Here is an 18,265-nt window from a genome sequence, read left to right as displayed (position 1 = left end):
AAATATTGGCCAGAAGGGAGAGAATGTAAACCAAAAATAAAATTCTAAGCCATGCAGTCATCTGAATGGATCCTTCCTCTCAGCCAAGGGCATTCCAAAGTTAACCTGAAAAAACTAGTTCAGGCCATGATATGAAGGGAGAGCCAGACATGCATCATTATATCCTGTACCCTTTTGGAATTACTCATAGAACAGATTCTTTAAGTCTGGTAAGAAATATTTACAATCTATTATCTCAGAGGCCTGCTACCTGGAGACTTTGTCTGCATGATAAAACCTTGGTCTCCACAGCCCCTAATCTTGAAGACCCAGACATTCCTTTCTATTGGTTCAAAGTTTTTAGACAATAACCAAGTGCCAATCAGATCTTTGAATTCACTGATGACCTGGAAACCCCCACTTTTGGTCTTTCTGGACCAAACCTATGTACATCTTTTATGTATTGACTAATATCTTATGTCTCCCTAAAATGTATAAAGTCCAGCTGTAGCCTGACCTCCTTGGGCACATGTTCTCAGGATCTCCTGAGCACTGTGTCATGGGCCATTGGTCACTCATATTTGGCTCAAAATTATTATCTTCAAATATTTTAGAGTTTGACTCTTTTTGTCAACAGATCCTTAACATAATTTACAAAGTCCTACAAAACCTGTACCCTGTCCACCATTACTCATTCTGGATTTTATTTCTTATACCCACCATACTTTTTTTCAATGTCAATGATTTGTATACATTGTCCTAACTGCAATGTTTCCCACTCTCCTTTCACCTAGTATTTCTTCTGATTCTTAAGATTCTAATTTAAAGATGATTCCTACAGTAAGTCTTCCTTGACCACCCCTCCTCAACTTGGGTCAGCCTGTCACACAGATTCTTAACACTCTGTATTTCTCATTGACAATACCCTGCATAAGAATGCGTGTATCCTTGTTCAGTCTTCATCTCCTCATAAGACATAAACTCCCGGAGATCTGGGACCATGTCTGTTGTCTTATTCACAATTGAATTCCTAACACTTAGTATAGTGCCACATGAAGGAAAGCATTTAATGGTTAGTCTGTAGCCCAATTAGTCTATAGACTAATGAAATAGCATACTTTTATAGGCCAATACATGATTGACACATTTAACCATATTGCTATTATTTTTGTTGCTGTTTTAAAAATTGCTGTGATGCATAACCTTGTCCATATATATATGTGCACCTGTTCTTGTATCTTTTTAGGTTAAATCTCTTGAAATGAGACTGTTGGGTGGAAGGGAAGGAAAGATGATATAAATAATACTGAGAGCATGTAGCATAGTTATAAGGAGATGATGTAACATTGCCTAAGAGAATACTGATTTTCCAGCATCAGCTCCATCCTCAGAATTCTGTGGATAGAGCTTTATTGTCTTTAAGATATTCACTGCATACTTATGGTCCTAGGCTGTGATCTTCAGAGTGGACTGCATACCCTGTAGGAAGTACTCAGGAAAACCCATGGGCACACTGGAAAAAAATAAAACAAGGTCTGTTTATATTTGTTTTTAACTAATCTTTCAAAATTGTGTTTAAAATGTACTGTAGTAAATGTATTTAATTTATAAAAAATAAACATATACATACTTTACATATATATATGTACGTGTAGGATACAACTTCCACATACATTTACATTGATGACACAAACAAAAGTTTTTACATCACTGCTCTAAAACGTGCAGAGAATAAAAATAGTGAAGATTCATAATTGTCATAAGATATTGATATAAAACCAATTTTTCATCCAAGTTTATTATTGAAAACGGGGAATGAAGTCTGAGTGCTGTTAAAATTTGCTTTGCCTTTCTTCCACATCTGGTCATTAAAAGCTCATTACAAATTCTGTGACCCTTGTTATCTTAGTCTGTTTTGGTTACTGTAATAAAATACCATAAACTCAGTAGTGTGCTGTTATGAACAGCAGCAATTTTATTTCTCACAATTCTGGAGGCTGGGGAGCCCAAGATCAAGGCACTAGCAGATTTGGTGATAAAGACACAGATAAAGGCACTGATCCCATTCATGAGAACTCCACTCCCATGATCTAATCACCTTACAAAGGCCTCATTTCCTAACACCATTGCTTTAGGAGTGAGGATTTTAACATGTGAATTTTGAAAGGGAAACATAAACATTCAGACCATAGCACTTACTTTTCTCCCAGTACTTTCCTGGCTGCATTCCAGTGAATAGCAGTTCAATACTTTTGTACTGATTATGTTTTAGGAGTAGCCAGTGAAATAATCAGTTTTATCATTTTAACACTCAGGAGGTTTTTCCTAGACATCAACAAATGACTGTAGAGTAAATCTGAGATAGATAGAAAACCCATAGATATAGATCTGGCTAGAGAGTAGCGGTGTTTCAAGTCACAGTTCAAAGCCACTAGTAAATGGTTAATGTTCATTAATGATTTACAAGTGAGGAGGGATTTCTATATTGTTGATTCTTTGGTTTTCCAACTTAATGGCTTTATTTCACTGAAGGCTACCACCCTCATTCGCCTACAGAGAAGTGCATATTGAAAGATTATCCTGTTATTCCATTTTCTGAATTGGCAGCCAAAGGAAATATTAGTATGTGATGTGAAACACAGCATCTATTATCCTGAAACATTCCCCTGGGTTCACAGGTTCAGACTAGAGAAGGCAAAAGTTGGCAACCAAATAATATATATATTATTGTGGTAAGAACACTAAACATGGGATCTAACCTCTTAACATGTTTTTAACTATACGATACAGTATTACTAACTACAGGCATAGTGCTGTATAGGTCTCTAGAACTTACTCACCTTCTGTAACTGAAATCTGTATAGGAACTCCCGAGTTCCTCCTCCCTATAGCCCCTGACAACCACCATTCTGCTCTGTTTCTAGGAGTTTGACTAGAACTCCTGGATACCTTGTTATTGGAATCATACAGTATTTGTTCCTCTGTGACTAGCTTATTTCAATTAGCATAATATCCTCAATGCTCATCCATGTTGTCACACATGGCAAGATTTTCTTCTGTTTTAAGGCTAAACAGTATTCTGTTGTATGTATATACCACATTTTCTTTATCTATTCATCCATTTATCAACATTTAGGTTGTTTCCACATTCTGACTATTGTGAATAGTGCAATGAACATTGGTGTGCAAATACCTCTTTCAAGCAACCAAATATACATCTGACATGTATATTTAGAACTCTCATACTAAAACTATATGTCCAGTGCTTTTAAAAGTTAAATAAAAGCTGTACAATAGTTTAAATAAAAGTACCTAAATTCTTGCCCTCATTGTATTGATTTTTTCCTCACTTTTAGATGGTCTTTTCATTTATTTTGCAAAAACATATAATACATGGTTGTAATCCTTATATAATACAATTTGAATTCTGACTTTTACCCTTATCCTAACCATTTCCACATACAATTTGAAATTTTTACTTTTTAATAGTGGCATAATAGTTTTTCAAGATGATGCACTATAATGTAATGAATCATTTCTCTGTGGTTGGATATTTATAAGTGACCCTGATGTATTCTACTGAGCCAGGGTGTCACAATCTCTTGGCAGTATTTTTTTTGAAATGTATTATTGCAGGTGTTACTGGTTGTCTGGGAACATAAACAGCGGGATCATGTAGCCAAAATATCATACTTGGTTTGGGTTACTTTATTGTGAAAAAGATTTAACCAAATGGAATATTCACAAGGGAAGAAAATAATAATGAGGGAAACAGGGACCATTTGAAAGAGGGAAGTACAATTTGTAACTCACTATTTGACTATTTTCTTCATGTACTTCAATGACAGGTTATCTGTGGGGAGAAGACAGTTACAGGCACAGCAAAGCATGAGGCTGGATACAGGAACTGTGTTAGAGAAGAAAGGCCAAAGGATGATGGTGAGCACAAAGTAAGCTGTAAAAGACAATGAAAATGTAAATAATTACTACTATCACATCATGATTAGAAAGAAAGTATTCAATTTAAAGAGCTGAGCTGAGAGACACAGGTTAAGTTCATGGCTTGTATTAAGGCAGCAAAAAAGGGTTACCCAAGTCAAGTCAACACAACTGATATTTGTTGAACTGCTCTATGCTTAAAAGAAATCCTAGGACACTATAGATACAAAAATGAACAAAACTTAATAAGCTCATAATCCAGGTGACCAAGGGCCCTGAGAGCACAAAGTAAAAGAATATAGTTTTTTAAGAGGTGGAATTCGGAGTGTGAACAGTCAAGGTACACAGAGGAGTGACATTTGATCTGAGTCTTGAAAGAGGAGTAGGAGTTTGCTCAGCTGGCACAGAAAAAAAGGCTTTAGCAAAGGCTCCCTGTCAGAAGGTGCTTGGTATGTGCAGGGAGCAGAAAGTAGTCGAATTTAGCTAAAGCCATAATTTTCAAACATATTTAATATGAGTCACCCTTTCAAATAAAATTGTATTTAGAACCCAACATATACAATGTGTAAAAGTGGTACTTTACAGTTTAAATGCATTTTATCATTTTAATTGTGAAATATTTTCCTGTTATACATGGAAAAAATGAGAATAATGAAGCTCTTCGGAGAAGCTAAATATTGCAGCCATGGAGTTATATCTGATATTTTGCTTATTTTATTTCTGTTTGGCTGCACAATAATAAGAAAGTTCTGATTCACACTGCAGCTTGTCCCAGAATTTCAGTATATGCTTCAATTAAAGTAGATCAGAAGCTTGAAAGAAAAGTAGCAGGAAATGTTTGCTTCAGTGGTCAATAACTAATAATGTCAATTACCTCTTGTTCACATATGTAAATGTCAGACAAGATGTAGCCAAAATGGAAAATAATCTCTAAAACTATTTATAGTACAATATTATCATGAAGTGTTTTATATGCTCTTTTTGAACAACTACAATGCTGTGATAAGAAATAATTCTAGGCAGTACATGTCTCTGACCAGAGCCTCAAAGTATTATATACTTATATAAATTTAAGTGAGTCAAAATGCAGAGGTCTAAATGATAAAAAGATAAATACAGAGCTACAAACATCTTTATCAATGACATATTTTATATATTCAAATATAGGAAATTTGATGATGAGGAACCTTTAATCTAAGGTTTGTCTCCCAACTGCACAATCTGGTCTGTTTTTTTTTTTTTGTTTTTTGTTTTTTTTTTTGAGATGGAATCTCGCTCTGTCACCCAGGCTGGAGTACATGGTGCAATCTCAGCTCGCTGCAACCTTCATCTCCCAGGTTCAAGTGATTCTCCTGCCTCAGACTCCAGAGTAGCTTGGAGTACATGTGCCATATGCCAGGCTAATTTTTTATTTTTAGTAGAGATGGGGTTTCACCATGTTGGCCAGGCTGGTCTGGAACTCCTAACCTCAGGTGATCTGCCCACCTTTGCTTCCCAATGTGCTGGGATTACAGGTGTGAGCCACCATGCCCAGCCACAATCTGGTAATTTTTAATACTTTTAAATCAAAGATAGATCACAATTGAGTGTGCATGCTCCTTTTGTTAGTGTTGATAGAATAGTAAAAATGTAATCTAAAATTTAATTTCAAAATATAATGTTTGCATAGCCCCTGAAGTACCTCTGCAGAGCCCTTAAGGCCACATGATTTGTTGAGGCTAGATTAAACAAAATCTTGCCTATAATTGAATGTTGGACTTCACTTGCAGCCTTTGAGCATTTCTTGAAATATTTTAGAAAAAGATGTGAGAAGACCAGATCCTGTATTTGAAATAATAATTTTAAGTATGTTTAAATTGAGGGAGAATGGAAATTCATTTGGAAGGAAACTGAAATAATTCAGATGAGAGAAACTGAAACTGAGGCCCTGAAGTAGTGCAGAATGAGTGAAACTGGAGAGTTGGGGTAAGATTCAAAGATATCTCAGAAAGAGGGAGGTATAAAGAAATAGCAGCTTTTAATAACATATGGTCCAGGGTTTGAATCTTGCCTTATTTTTTTCAGTTTATTAAGTAAATTTTTCAGTTTACTTTATGTTTTCAGTAACCAAAGCACCTGCTGTGGTTTGAATGTGTCCTCCCCAAATTCATATGTTGACACTTAATTGCCAGTGTGATAGTATTAAGATATGGGGCTTTTCAGAGTGATTAAATCATGAGAGCTCATGAATGTGACTAGTGCCCTTATAGAAGAGGTACAAGGGAACTGTTTATGTCTTCTGCCCCTTCCATTATGTGAGGACACAGAGAAGGTATAATCTATGAGGAACAGGCTCTCATCAGACCCTTGTTAAAAGAAAAACTTTAGACAAATTAACTTTAGCAGAGTTTATTTGAGCAAAGAACAATTCATGAATCAGGCAGCACTCTGAACCAGTAGAGGTTCAGAAAGCCCCACTCAGCAATGTGAGCAGGCAGTATTTATAGGCAGAAAGAGGAATTGAGGTACAGAAACAGCTTGATTGATTATGGCCCAGCATTTGCCTTATTTGGGCACAATGCAATGTGGCATTTGCCTTATGTGGACATGGTCTTATTAGTTGGTAGTATGTGATTGGATGAAACCTGGCTGCTGTAATTAGCTGAGACTCAGCTATCTGTTACAAGAACATACTCTTAAGTAAGGTTTATTTAAACACTAACTTAGGTGCAGTTTGCTATGCAGAATTCCAAAGTATGGAAGCAGCTTTTGGCCAAATTTAATTTAATTTAACATATTCAATATGCTGGTGCCTTGATCTTGGACTTTCCAGCCTCCAGAACTGTGAGAAATACATTTCTTCTTGTAACTTACCCAGCCTAAGATATTTTGTTGTAGCAGCAAGAATGGACTAAGATAGCATCTGGGAAATAATTAATAATGTATAATCTTTTAACACCTGAATAATGCAAATATTGATCTAGAGATTACCTTACATCTTGACATTCTGTAAGCCCTGCTTAACTACTGCACCACAGAAGGCCGTATAGCTAGAGACTGCAGAGCTGAGACTTGAACCCTAGAAGCCTAACCACAGAATTCCTGCTCTTTATTATTTTGCTGTCAACACTTGATTCTGAGGTTGTGCAAATTCACTGTGTAAAAATCAAGAGGCACATATAGTTTGAAATATAAAGCAGACGTGTGGGGGAAAGGAAGACCAGAAGAGATGATCCTCTTCTATGTCATGTTATTAAGTATGAACTTTGGATCTCAAAGGCAGTGGGGAAAACCAATGACAGGTTTTAAGCAGAAATAAAGTGATCAGTCTTGAATGTATACAAGATCACTCTGGTGCATTTTACTCTTTTAGGTTTCCTTAGTATCTTATCATAATTTTCAATTTCATTCCAGGCCTTAAGCCCTCTCCAAGTATCTCATGCATTTATTTTACTTTTTTTCTGAGAAAACTACACTTTATAAAAATCAATCTATTTTTTCTTTAATCATTGAACAAATATTAAATACACACTAGTTAATACAAGGGACTCCTTTAAAGGATCTATGAAAATAAGCTTGCAAAATATGCAAATTAATGGGTGTCTTGCACTATAAAACAATACTTAGATTTACAGATTTATGTGAAATTTCAGATTTATGTCCTTCAAACCTACTAGAAGCAAATTGTTTGAAGGACTATGTTCTCCATATATTAAAGGACTATTGTGATAAAATGAAGCACGCATGCACTTTTATAAGTGACTCAAATGACCTACTTAAAAACTGCTATTTCTAGTGAAACCAGTTAATCAACATTTGAAAAACAAGTCTTCAGATGCCCCTGGTTATCATCCTGGGGAGTACACCATCAACTGTGAGAATAGGATGTCATATCTTGCACTAATGAGATATGCTAATGCATCATATTTTAGGAGAATTAAAATGAAACTCCTTAAAACAGAGAATAATTTACAATCTAATAAACTCTGACACATTACCTGCATGTATCTGATAAAATGGTGCCACACAGTCATGCCTTGCTTAATGACAAAGACAGGTTCTGAGAAATGAGATGCTAGGCTATTTTGTCATTGTGCTAATACAGAATATACTGACATAAACCTGGATGGTCTAACCTACTACACACCTAGGCTATATGGTATGGCTTATGCTCCTAGGCTACAAACTTGTACAGCATGTTACTGTACAATATTTAGTAGGCAATTGTAACATAATGGTAGTTATTTGTGTATTTAAATTTTTCTGTTCTTTCTTTTATTTTGAGACAGAGTCTTGCTCTGGCATGCAGAGGAGCAATCTCGGCTCACTGCAACCTCTGCCTCCCAGGCTCAAGCAATCCTCCTTACTCAGTCCCCACTGCCCACCCCACCCCAGTAGCTGGCTACAGGTGTGCTCCACCACACCAGCTAATTTTTTTGTTTGTCTGTTTTTGTAGAGACGGGGTTTCACCATGTTGCCTAGGCTGGTCTCGAACTCCTGGGCTCAAGCGATCCACTTGCCTTGGCCACCCAAAGTGCTGGGATTGCAGGCGTGGGCCACTGCACATGGCTAAACATTTCTAAACATAAAAAAGCTACAGTAAAATATGTTATTATAATCTTATGGGACCACCATCATATATGCTGTCCATTATTGACCAAAATGTTATGTAGCACATGACTTGGTGTATGTACACCCACACCCACACATACACATACGTATCATAACATAATACAAAAAAACAAAAAAAAATACAAAAAAACAAACAAAAAAATCTTTCCTCATTGCATGACTGGAATCAGACCTTTTGTTTAAAGGCTTTGAATCCAATTCTCCCAGTTTTTAAAAGTGTGGAAGTTAAACTGTAAGATTCCACAAAGAAAGGTTTCCAGAATATAACATATTTGCCAGAAACTGCCTTTCAAAGCAAGTGGGAAATATCCTTACTAGTTCGGAAAAGTTCAGATATTTAAAAGAAGTAAAATTTTGCACACCAATTAAAATTGAAGTGCCTTTGTGTAACTAGAAGTGAAATCAGCACATAAGAACTTTTTTTGTAATTTGTAATCTAATTTATTCAAGTTGAAGAGACTTGCACATTATTTAAAAAGTATAAAATGAAGTCACAGTCATCAAAAATACAGTACAGTGTGTTTTGACCATACAGTAATTAGGGTGATTTTCTCAGGAGACTTAGTCACATAGCATGCAACATTTAAAATGTGTCTTCCTCAGCCAAGAGCAACAAAGTGAGACCAGCCAAGAGTCAGTCATATGACCACCGGCAAAGTTGCCAATGCAGTTTTTCCATTTCATGTGCCCTGTGGAAGGGCAAAAGTGGAAAAGCAGACCCAATCGCAATGGGCAAAAGTGGAAAAGCAGACTCAATTGGAATGCTAGTTTTTTTCACATTGTGTAAGTTAAAGGTACAACAGCTGCTATATGCTAAATTATCACTAGTTATGGGACTTTAGTTACAGTACTTGAATTTCCCCCCAATCCAACTTCTTAAAATGTGTTGAAATACCAACTAGCAATAAGTTAATTTCTCCAGTGTAATTGAATAGTCTAACTTGGTATCTTACTCCTTAACTGATTTTGACTAAAATTATAATATTTACAGGAAAAAAAAAAGTTCAGAGTTAAAAGAATACCATGAAAGGGCAAATGATTTTATGGACAAACTTTGAACTGCATCTTCACTGTTCATTACCTTACTGTATTTGCTAAGGAAGCTAAGATCTCATTTAATTTTTGTGTGCTTTGCTTTGGTTCAAAACTAACATCACATTCTCAGAACTTGGTCAGGCCTTAATCAAATAAAATGCTATTGAGCTTCCACTTGGTCTTTCCACTCTGCTAAGTGCAAAGACAGTTCTGGAGAAATCAGTCGTGGCTCATGTCCTCAAGGAGTTGGTCAAAAGACAAGGCTTGGCGAATATGTACGTGCCATGTCAATGAACTGCTACAATGGAATAAACTTATAATAATGCCTAACATTTATTGACTCCTCATAATAAGGCCATAAACTTTGCATGAATTAACTCATAGAAACGTTATGACGTTGTATCACAAGCAATCCTAATTTGCAGATGAGGACACTGAGGCTTAGGGAAGTTATCTAACTTGCCTAAGGTTAAAGCAATATACTGCTTTTATGGTTGCATCTTTAGTAATCTCTGGGGTTGCTGGGACTCCAGTGCGAGAAAGAGCCCGAAATTCGCAAACTTGGATGATGGGGAAGAAAAGGTGTGCTAAACTCAGGTCACAGAGGTCCAGTCTTAATCTTGTTCCTCTGCAAGCCTTGTTGCTCACACCTCTTGACCGACAGTTCGAGGCAAGTGCTCACAGCAAACTTACTCTATGTAAGCCAAGGCCAGATGTGGGGAGAAGGGGCTGAGAAATGTTAGAAACGTGAACGCAGTCCAGGCGGGAGAAGAGAAGGGGGCCTCGAGGGGTGCCCCTATGCAGCCCACACACACGCCAGGCACTAACTTGGAAAAGCAACAAGCTTGGCGGGAGATCCTCCCGCGGCCGGAGGGCCCTGAACCCTAGGCCAAGACTCATCCACAACCTAGGGGGAGGCGGCCACCAGCGCCCCATCGAAGCTAAAGGGCTGACAGAAGGGCTGTAGCGGCAAGTGTGCGCCAACACAGCTGCACACGCCCAGACACCTGAGGCGCTGAGAGGAACTTCCCCGCGATCCGCCCCGGCTGCACAGAGCCTCTTCTCCCCGCCGGGGCCCCGCCCAGCCTCACTTCTTTTAAAAGCAGCAGCCAGCAGCGCGCCGGTGGCGTGCGGCTCGAAAGGCCGGGAGGACGTCATCGACGCGCTGTCGAGCCTCCAGCCCGCCCGGGTTTCCTTCGCAGTCGCGCACCGACGCTCAAACGCGCGCTCCAACCCGCAGCCTCCTCCTGCCTCACCGCCCGAAGATGGCGGCTCTCAAACTCCTCTCCTCCGGGCTTCGGCTCTGCGCCTCTGCCCGCGGATCTGGGGCAACCTGGTACAAGGTAAAGTGCGGGGGAAGAGGAAGGCCATGGGCAGGAAGAACGTGGACCAAACCCTGAGTGGTGCCCGCGTTTTCTTCTCTGCCCCTACCCGCTCTCTCCAGCCTGGGATCTGGCATCCGTGGCGCGGTGCCCTGGTCACGGACACGCGGCGACGCGTTCCTGGCCTCGCCGGCCCCTCGGATGACCGCCTTTGCTTGGTTCTGCAGTCGCTTCCCTGATGGAGCGAGACGCGATAAAGAAGCGCGCGGAGAGGCTGAGAAGGGGCGGGAGGACTCCTGGCAGCGCTCCCGAGCCCTTTGGCGCTCGTCGGCTTCCCTCCTGGCACCCGCCCTTGGATAGGGACTCTGAGGGTCTGAACGGGGGGAGGAGGGCGCCAGTATATGGAGGTTTAGGAGTGAGGCAACAGCGGGTAGGTTTGCGCCCCCGATGTTGGATCTCTGGGCAGAGGAACCTCTAGAGGCCCAGAACCTGAGGCTGGGTTAGCCATGGCTCTGCTCGAGTTCACCGGGGCTGGATGCCGGGTGCGGCGGGTGTGGAATGCCGCTCCCATCCTCTCCTCCCTATTTGGCTCTGCTGCCCCGTAGACTGGAGCGCTCGCCAGGGCGTCTTGCCGGCCAAGCTGGGAAACCATCCGAGGTGTGTCCCTGGCCCGCGCCTGGGCTGCAGGGGAGGACAAACCTTTCTCTCGAGGCCCCTCGTATCCGGGTTAGGGGCTTTCGGTTTTCAGAGCCCTTTGAAATCCTTTTTGTGCCCCACTGCCGACTCTCCACCGAGTGGTATCCGGAGGCATTCCCACCGTGGACTGACTTGTGGTTTTGCCTTATGCACTGTCCTCGCTTGTAAGCCCACCCCTGTCTGGAGCCCTAGGAGCGAATTACAGGACCAGAGCGCCAGGTCCAGGAGGGTGGCTTTATCCCCGCCGTCTCAATCGCGGGAGCCTCTTCCTTGGTATTCAGTAATAGGTCTGAGCTTGACAGCGTGCCATGCACACGGTGCTTACTCCTGAAGCGTGCCTGCCTGGCCCCATTGCTCTTTCCTGCATCCAATCCCTGACCGCTGAGAACACAGAGGAGCCACTGAGCTCCTTCGGTAGGTGCTAGGGAATGGTTCAGAACTGGACCATTTTACTCTTAAATGCCTCTTAGGAAGCATTTTTATAACTGCAGATAGACTTGGATATATAAAGCATTATTAAAAGGGAACTTGACCTTCAGTGAGATTGCAGCGGTGCTGAAGCTAATACAAACCAGAGCACAGCGATACCCTTGGGCCGAGGTCAGGAACGTTCCTTCTTTTGACAGTTACTGATTTGCCCAACTGTAATTTACTCACTTCAAGTCTTTTCCATCTTGAGTATATCATTAAACCATTTCCGAAGCTCAGCAAACCTCATCTTAGAGGGACGAGATGCAAATAAGGGGTTCTGCTATATCTCATTAAAAGTTCATACAGAGTTCAAACTTAGCCCTGTCAGGCTTGATTATCATAGGTCTAACTCCTGCCTTCCACTATTCCCCTAGCTTGTGGCTCTTAGTGCCCTTATTGTTTTTTTTTTTTTGAGACGGAGTCTCGCTCTGTCGCCCAGGCTGGAGTGCAGTGGCGGGATCTCGGCTCACTGCAAGCTCCGCCTCCCGGGTTCACGCCATTCTCCTGCCTCAGCCTCCCAAGTAGCTGGGACTACAGGCGCCCGCCACTACGCCCGGCTAATTTTTTGTATTTTTAGTAGAGACGGGGTTTCACCGTTTTAGCTGGGATGGTCTCGATCTCCTGACCTCGTGATCCGCCCGCCTCGGCCTCCCAAAGTGCTGGGATTACAGCCCTTATTGTTTAGCACTTTAAATCCTCACCTGCTGCTTCTGTTGAACTGTACCACTTATCTACTTGTTTAACTTTTCAGATGTGTATATTGTCTCCTCAACCAGATGACAGTTCCCCGATGGCAGAGACCATATTTATGCCTTACACTTAGTCTCCCTCAACAAACACACTACTCTGCATAGATCAGATATTCTACACATGTTTAAAGTACGGATGAGAGAACCCTCCAGGCAAACAGAAACCTTGAGTTTTTCCACTAAACATAACTAACAGCTAAAACGAGATAGTTATTTTCTTAAATGTTTAACATTTTTATAATGGGCAGGCCCAGTGTCTCGCAGACCTGAGAGTGCATCAGCATTACCTGGAGGTTTTCTAAAACAGATTGCTGTACCCACCCCCAGAATTTCTAATTTAATAGGTCCTGGGTGGGGCCCTAAACTTTGCATTGATAAGTTCCAGGTGATGTTGATGCTGCTGGTCTGGGGACTGACTGCCCCTTTCAGAGTTATCTGGCATGGACTTAGGTGAAAATAGACTATTGGGAGGTATCTTCTTTTCTTCATTATTACTGAGGGGCAGTGGGGAGCATTTAATACTATTTTCACTATAGAAAATTATTAGTGGGAAAAAGGTTATAAGAGTACCACTAACACTTTACCCACCATTCATCCTTGACCCTGTCTTTTCCCAAATCTCTTTCCAACCTCTGACTCTCCTGAGCTGCAGTCCTTCTGGTGCAACTGGTGAACTTCACTTGGATGTCAGTTGGTGCTTAAAGCTCTTTCTGATCCAAAGCAAACTAGCCATAAAGTGGCTTTCCCATTCCTTGTTTTGTTCTTCTATCACTGTGCTTAACAGCACCAGTATCCATCCAGTATATAAGCTGGAAATCCTGGAACCATCTTCTCTTCTCCTTGCTGCACTTCCAATTGATCACCAAGTGTCATATGTGTGCCTCTTTCTGAAATGTTCCTCAGTGCTGTCCCTGGCATTCTTTCTCAGCAACTGTTTCTTCCTTATAGCTCCCCAATTAAATACTATGATTGTGTTTAAAATTTTGTAATTATTTAATGACTACTATCTTTGCTAGTTTGTAAGTTTCATTATAGCAGGGGCTATGTCTGGGTTTTATTTTCAATATTTTAACTTTGTAGCCCCAGTATTTTGTATAGTTGGTACAAATGAGTGAAGGAAAGAAATAATGAGTTTCCATACCACTTTCTTAATTCAGGCTTCCTTTGAGTTGTGACATCTGTTTCAAAAGCTTTGCTGTCCCTTCGTCATGGAATGATCAAGTCACAAATCAACACTAAAGAACTTACTCATGTAACCAAATACTACTTGTTCCCCAAAAACCTATGGAAATAAAAAAATTAAAAAGAAAAGAAAAAAGAAACTCTGCAGTGTGGTCTGTAAGGCTTTTTACAAACTGCCTCAGTCTGCTTCTCCAGCCTCATCTTCATGAACCTCTCTCCATGAGACCTGATCCCGCATGTCTGTAACCACACAGCCTTTTCATATCGCTGAACTCTTACTCATGTGGCTCCCTTGTTTGGAATCACTGTCCTGACAAGTATTTAACACCTGGCAAACTTTGGTTTTCTAGTCCACCAGGTAGAATGAATTACTCCTTCATCTGTGCTCCTTCGGAGCACTGAGTATCCCTCCAGCATTGGAGAAGAACATGTATGTTCCCTCAATAACAATGCACACCACTGCTGTAGAGAATTGCCTAGTGTTGTAACTCTCTGTGAGCTCCTTGAGATTTATTCTTGTCACATGTGCATAATTGGCAGTGTTTAGTTCAAGGTGAAAATTCTACCTTTGGTAGACACCGGTCCTCTTCTGGACAGCTAAAGTATTTTCACACACATCACTACCTCTTGGGAGTGATGCCGTGCTCTGCAGGTCTGTGAGTGTATCCACTCACATATTACTGCCTTTTCTTTATAACGTGTATCTCTTTACTTCTCTCCATATAACTTCTCCCCACTTTTGTTTCTCAAACTGTGATACTTGGACAATATCAGCTGTTCCTTGTCATTTATTTAACTGTAAGGTGACAAAATAAATATCACCTCATGTGAAAGTAATCTTAAAGCTAAGGCCTATGTCTTTTTGAAAACCTTCAACAAAGATCACCTGGGTTAATTTGCTACAGTATGAATTGTGTTTAAAAACATTCTTTGTAAAATCAGTGGAGTGTGTGTATAGGGTAGAGTGAGGTGGTTAAAAATTAAAACTAAACTCCAATAAATGACAAGTTGGTCTTACTGCCCTGGTAGAGAATGAAGAAAAGTTTGCATTTTCCAAAGGAAGCTAACAACCCCTGAGTATCTTCTATAGTCCAGGCACAGGGCTTCTGTATATAACATCAGAATATGTTATATACATACATAACCTCAGGGAAACTGTGGATAAGCGGTGGGGGGGGGGGTCTACTGTACATATAAAAACACCATGTATGCCATAAATATATACATTTGTTACCTGCATAAATATATACATTTATATACAATTAAAATTAAAACTAAACTCCAATAAATGACAAATTGATCTTACTGCCCTAGTGGAGAATGAAGAAAAGTTTGCATTTTCCAAAGGAAGCTAGTATCCCCTGGATATCTTCTATAGTCCTGCAACAGGGCTTCTGTATATAACATCATTTGATCCTTACTACATTCCTAGAAAACAATTATCATCTTTTTGTAAACTTAAAATACCTTCTCCCCCCATGAAAAAGAGATGCAGTGGTTAAGTAATTTTCCTAGATTCATACAACTGTGGCAGAATTGGAATTTGAAGCAAGGGTATTTTTTGATCCCAAGAGCATGATCTATTATGGCACACTATCTCCTAAACTAGATGTTGGGTTTCTTAGGATACAATCTGTTGTAGTATAAGTTGACCTGTTAGTAAATAGATATCAAATGTCAACAAATATTGTTAACTGAATATATGAATAATGAAAAAAACAAGTACCTGCAGGTTCTTCATTGTCTTGAGCCCTTCTCAGATTACCTGGAAAACATCTTCACTTTATGCTTTTAACTTTTGATTATCTGGGTAAACATGTCTTCCCTAAAATACTTTTGAAGTATATTTTTTTGCAGAGAGTGTGGCAAGCTCTTTGGTAATTTCTAACTGTAGTGAAAACTATCAGATGAAACAAAAAAATAGAATTCTTGACAAGCCTGTAGTTATATGCTTTTATTTGTGGGCAGGGGAGAGGTAGTGAGGGTTAATGGGTACCAAAAATTAGAAAGAATGAATAAGACCTTCTGTTTGATAGCACAATAGGGTGACTATAGTCAATAGCAACTTAATTGTACATTTAAAAATAGCTTCAAGTGTATTCGGATTGTAACTCAAAGGATAAATGCTTGAGGGAATGGATACCTTAATGTAAAAAGCCTCTATAGGTATATAGGGGAAATGAGTTTTCTTCCAACTTCCTCTCTATGTGGGATTTGTGTTTCTCAGCATATTGAAATAGTTAGGGTGATCTTACTGCACAGACTGTTGAGCTGTGGATGAACTCTTTAATTTTCTTCCCCTTCCAGCTATAAGGGCCTGACTCTTCACTTTTGGGTGGAGGTAATGACAGCAGAGTTATACAGGAAGAAATAGAACACTCACAAAGATTTATTTTATATCAAAAAATGAGAAGTGGAGTATGAGAGGTTTCAAAAAACATGGAGAGAAGCATATTGTAGTAGAAAGGCCCTGAGGTAGAAGGCCAAATAAAACCTTGGATCTGGTCTTGCTTTAATACAGTTTTGGGTAAAGTACAAGATCCTTCTAAGCTTCAAAAATTTGACCTGTGAAATGAATTGGTTGGATTAGATATATGCACTTTTTAAGTGTGTCTAGGAGATATCCTCAACTTTATCTTACGATCCTTCTGTTGGCCTGTTTATTCAGGCTATCACACTTGTAATTTCTAATATATTAAAAAATATATGTTTAAAACAGAAGCAGATGAATAGAAAAGAGGGAAAACTCTTTGTGGCTCAAGCCCTTTCTGTCTCTGCCTAGACTTATTTCTCAGGGTTTGAGCAGTGTGCTGGCATATTTTTAGGGGAAGAAAAGAATGATGGATATTTATGCTGTCACCTTGACCACTTCAGGTTGTGTCTGTCTGGGAGACTGTTAGGCAGTGGATGTGAGCTCATAACTGGCATGTTAAGGTAGCAGTATATCAGGATTCAGATGTTATTCTTTCTTTTTAGCCTGGCTGTATAGTGAGAATAAAGGAGAGGTGATATTGAGTATGAATGATTGCTACAGAATCTGCTTTCTTGTTTTCTTTTGTGCATAGTGTGGATGAAGTAGGGGAAAGGGAAAAGTTTACAACTGATTGCTCATGAATATTCACTAGGTGACTCATTTGGGACCAAATAGTACACAGTGGTAAGGCTAGACTTACCTTCCTTGTAGATAATGGTTTGTTCCTTTTATGTAGCCTCCATAAACCTTAAGCCCCATAGGAGGATGAGTTGTTTTGTAAGGTGTTTTTGTCCCTCTAGGAGGCATTCTTTGACATTTAAGATTGAACCTGGGGCCCAACTCTGTAGGTATGTGTTTTGTTCATATTGGCTTTAATTTCTTAGAGAGCAGTGCTCATGTCTTAATACTTAACTGTGTTGGAATAAATAGTACAGGACTTGACACATGGTGGGTTTACAGTAAATACTTGTTGATTAATGGAAGATTGGGTTACCAGAAACTGATGCTTGATGACACCATTGCTATGAATTTGAATTCCAGTATATGGACTTTTCTTTCTACTTTCATTCTTTTGGGTGGCCACAAATGATGGAGTTAGAACTTTCCCTTATGTAATAGAAGACATCTGTTACAAGGGGACTTCAGTGATAATCTGTGGATAAAATATCCATCCTACTTTTAAGTATGAGTCACTTAAAGCGCCAGGCTTTTGAAGAGGGGGATAGTATCACAGACAGAAAGGTGAAATGGTGGTTATGGAGGCTGGGGGTGAGGGGTTGGTGAGATGTTGGTCAAAGGATACATAATTTTATTTAGGAGGAATAAATTCAAGAGATCTGCGGAACACCATGGCGACTATGGTTAATAATATATTTTATACTAGAAAATTGCTTAGAGATTTTTAAGTGTTTTTACCATAAAAAAGTGTGTGCATTTATAAATAGCTTGATTTAGCTGTTCAACAATGTATATAGTATCCTCCCTTATCCAAGGGGAATATGTTCCAAAACCCCAGTGGATGCCTGACCTGTGGGTAGTACCAAACCCTATATAAGTTGTTTTTCCTACATATGTGTATCATTCATTTTAATTTACAAATTAGACTATGAGACATTAGTCACAATAACTAATAATAGAACAGTTATAACAATATACTGTAATAAAAGTTATAAGAATGCATTCTGTCTCTCAAATCTTATTGTACCGTACTTTCCTGGGGTGACAGACCTCAGAAAGGGAAACTGTGGATAAGGGGGGTCTACTATCCATATAAAAACACCATGTATGCCATAAATATATACATGTAT

General features: G+C 39.6%; 1 protein-coding gene and 2 long non-coding RNA genes across 10 annotated transcripts in view, besides 2 other annotated features; 1 reads left to right on the top strand and 2 right to left on the bottom strand.

Annotated features, from left to right (window-relative positions):
• Positions 1–1,372: 1,372 nt before the first annotated feature.
• Positions 1,373–18,000, bottom strand: LOC102723752 (uncharacterized). Of its 3 annotated transcripts, none has more exons than XR_925956.4 (3): positions 11,586–18,000; positions 3,793–3,934; positions 1,373–1,492 (listed from the first exon to the last, which is right to left on the bottom strand). It is a non-coding gene; the product is annotated as an uncharacterized LOC102723752 (long non-coding RNA). The 3 variants fall into 3 exon arrangements; XR_427695.4 differs by having other exon boundaries at positions 12,116–12,195; XR_007058750.1 differs by having other exon boundaries at positions 12,155–12,195.
• On the bottom strand, positions 8,947–11,158 carry OXCT1-AS1 (OXCT1 antisense RNA 1). The gene is made up of 3 exons (NR_046635.1): positions 10,996–11,158; positions 10,806–10,897; positions 8,947–10,422 (listed from the first exon to the last, which is right to left on the bottom strand). It is a non-coding gene; the product is annotated as an OXCT1 antisense RNA 1 (long non-coding RNA).
• Positions 10,167–10,216: an enhancer, noted in NCBI's record as "active region_22507". NCBI's record gives its function as "activates an Ori minimal core promoter by ATAC-STARR-seq in GM12878 lymphoblastoid cells {active_cell/tissue: GM12878}" and the evidence as "EXISTENCE:reporter gene assay evidence [ECO:0000049][PMID:35858748]".
• Positions 10,763–18,265, top strand: part of OXCT1 (3-oxoacid CoA-transferase 1) — a 140,361-nt gene continuing 132,858 nt past the window's right edge. For 5 of the 6 annotated variants that reach the window (NR_157114.2, NM_001364301.2, NM_001364302.2 and 2 more), the window contains exon 1: positions 10,763–10,907. Coding sequence is in view for 5 of the 6 variants with exons in the window: in NM_001364301.2 (NP_001351230.1) it covers positions 10,830–10,907 (78 nt within the window). In the remaining variant the exon portion in view is untranslated. Of the gene's footprint in view, positions 11,544–18,265 lie in introns of all 6 variants that reach the window. The other variant, NM_001364300.2, reaches the window with a different exon arrangement.
• Positions 11,047–11,126: an enhancer, noted in NCBI's record as "active region_22506". NCBI's record gives its function as "activates an Ori minimal core promoter by ATAC-STARR-seq in GM12878 lymphoblastoid cells {active_cell/tissue: GM12878}" and the evidence as "EXISTENCE:reporter gene assay evidence [ECO:0000049][PMID:35858748]".

Source organism: Homo sapiens, chromosome 5 (assembly GCF_000001405.40).
Source record: "Homo sapiens chromosome 5, GRCh38.p14 Primary Assembly".
NCBI classification, from domain to species: domain Eukaryota; kingdom Metazoa; phylum Chordata; class Mammalia; order Primates; family Hominidae; genus Homo; species Homo sapiens.
This window is presented reverse-complemented; position numbering and strand designations above follow the sequence as displayed.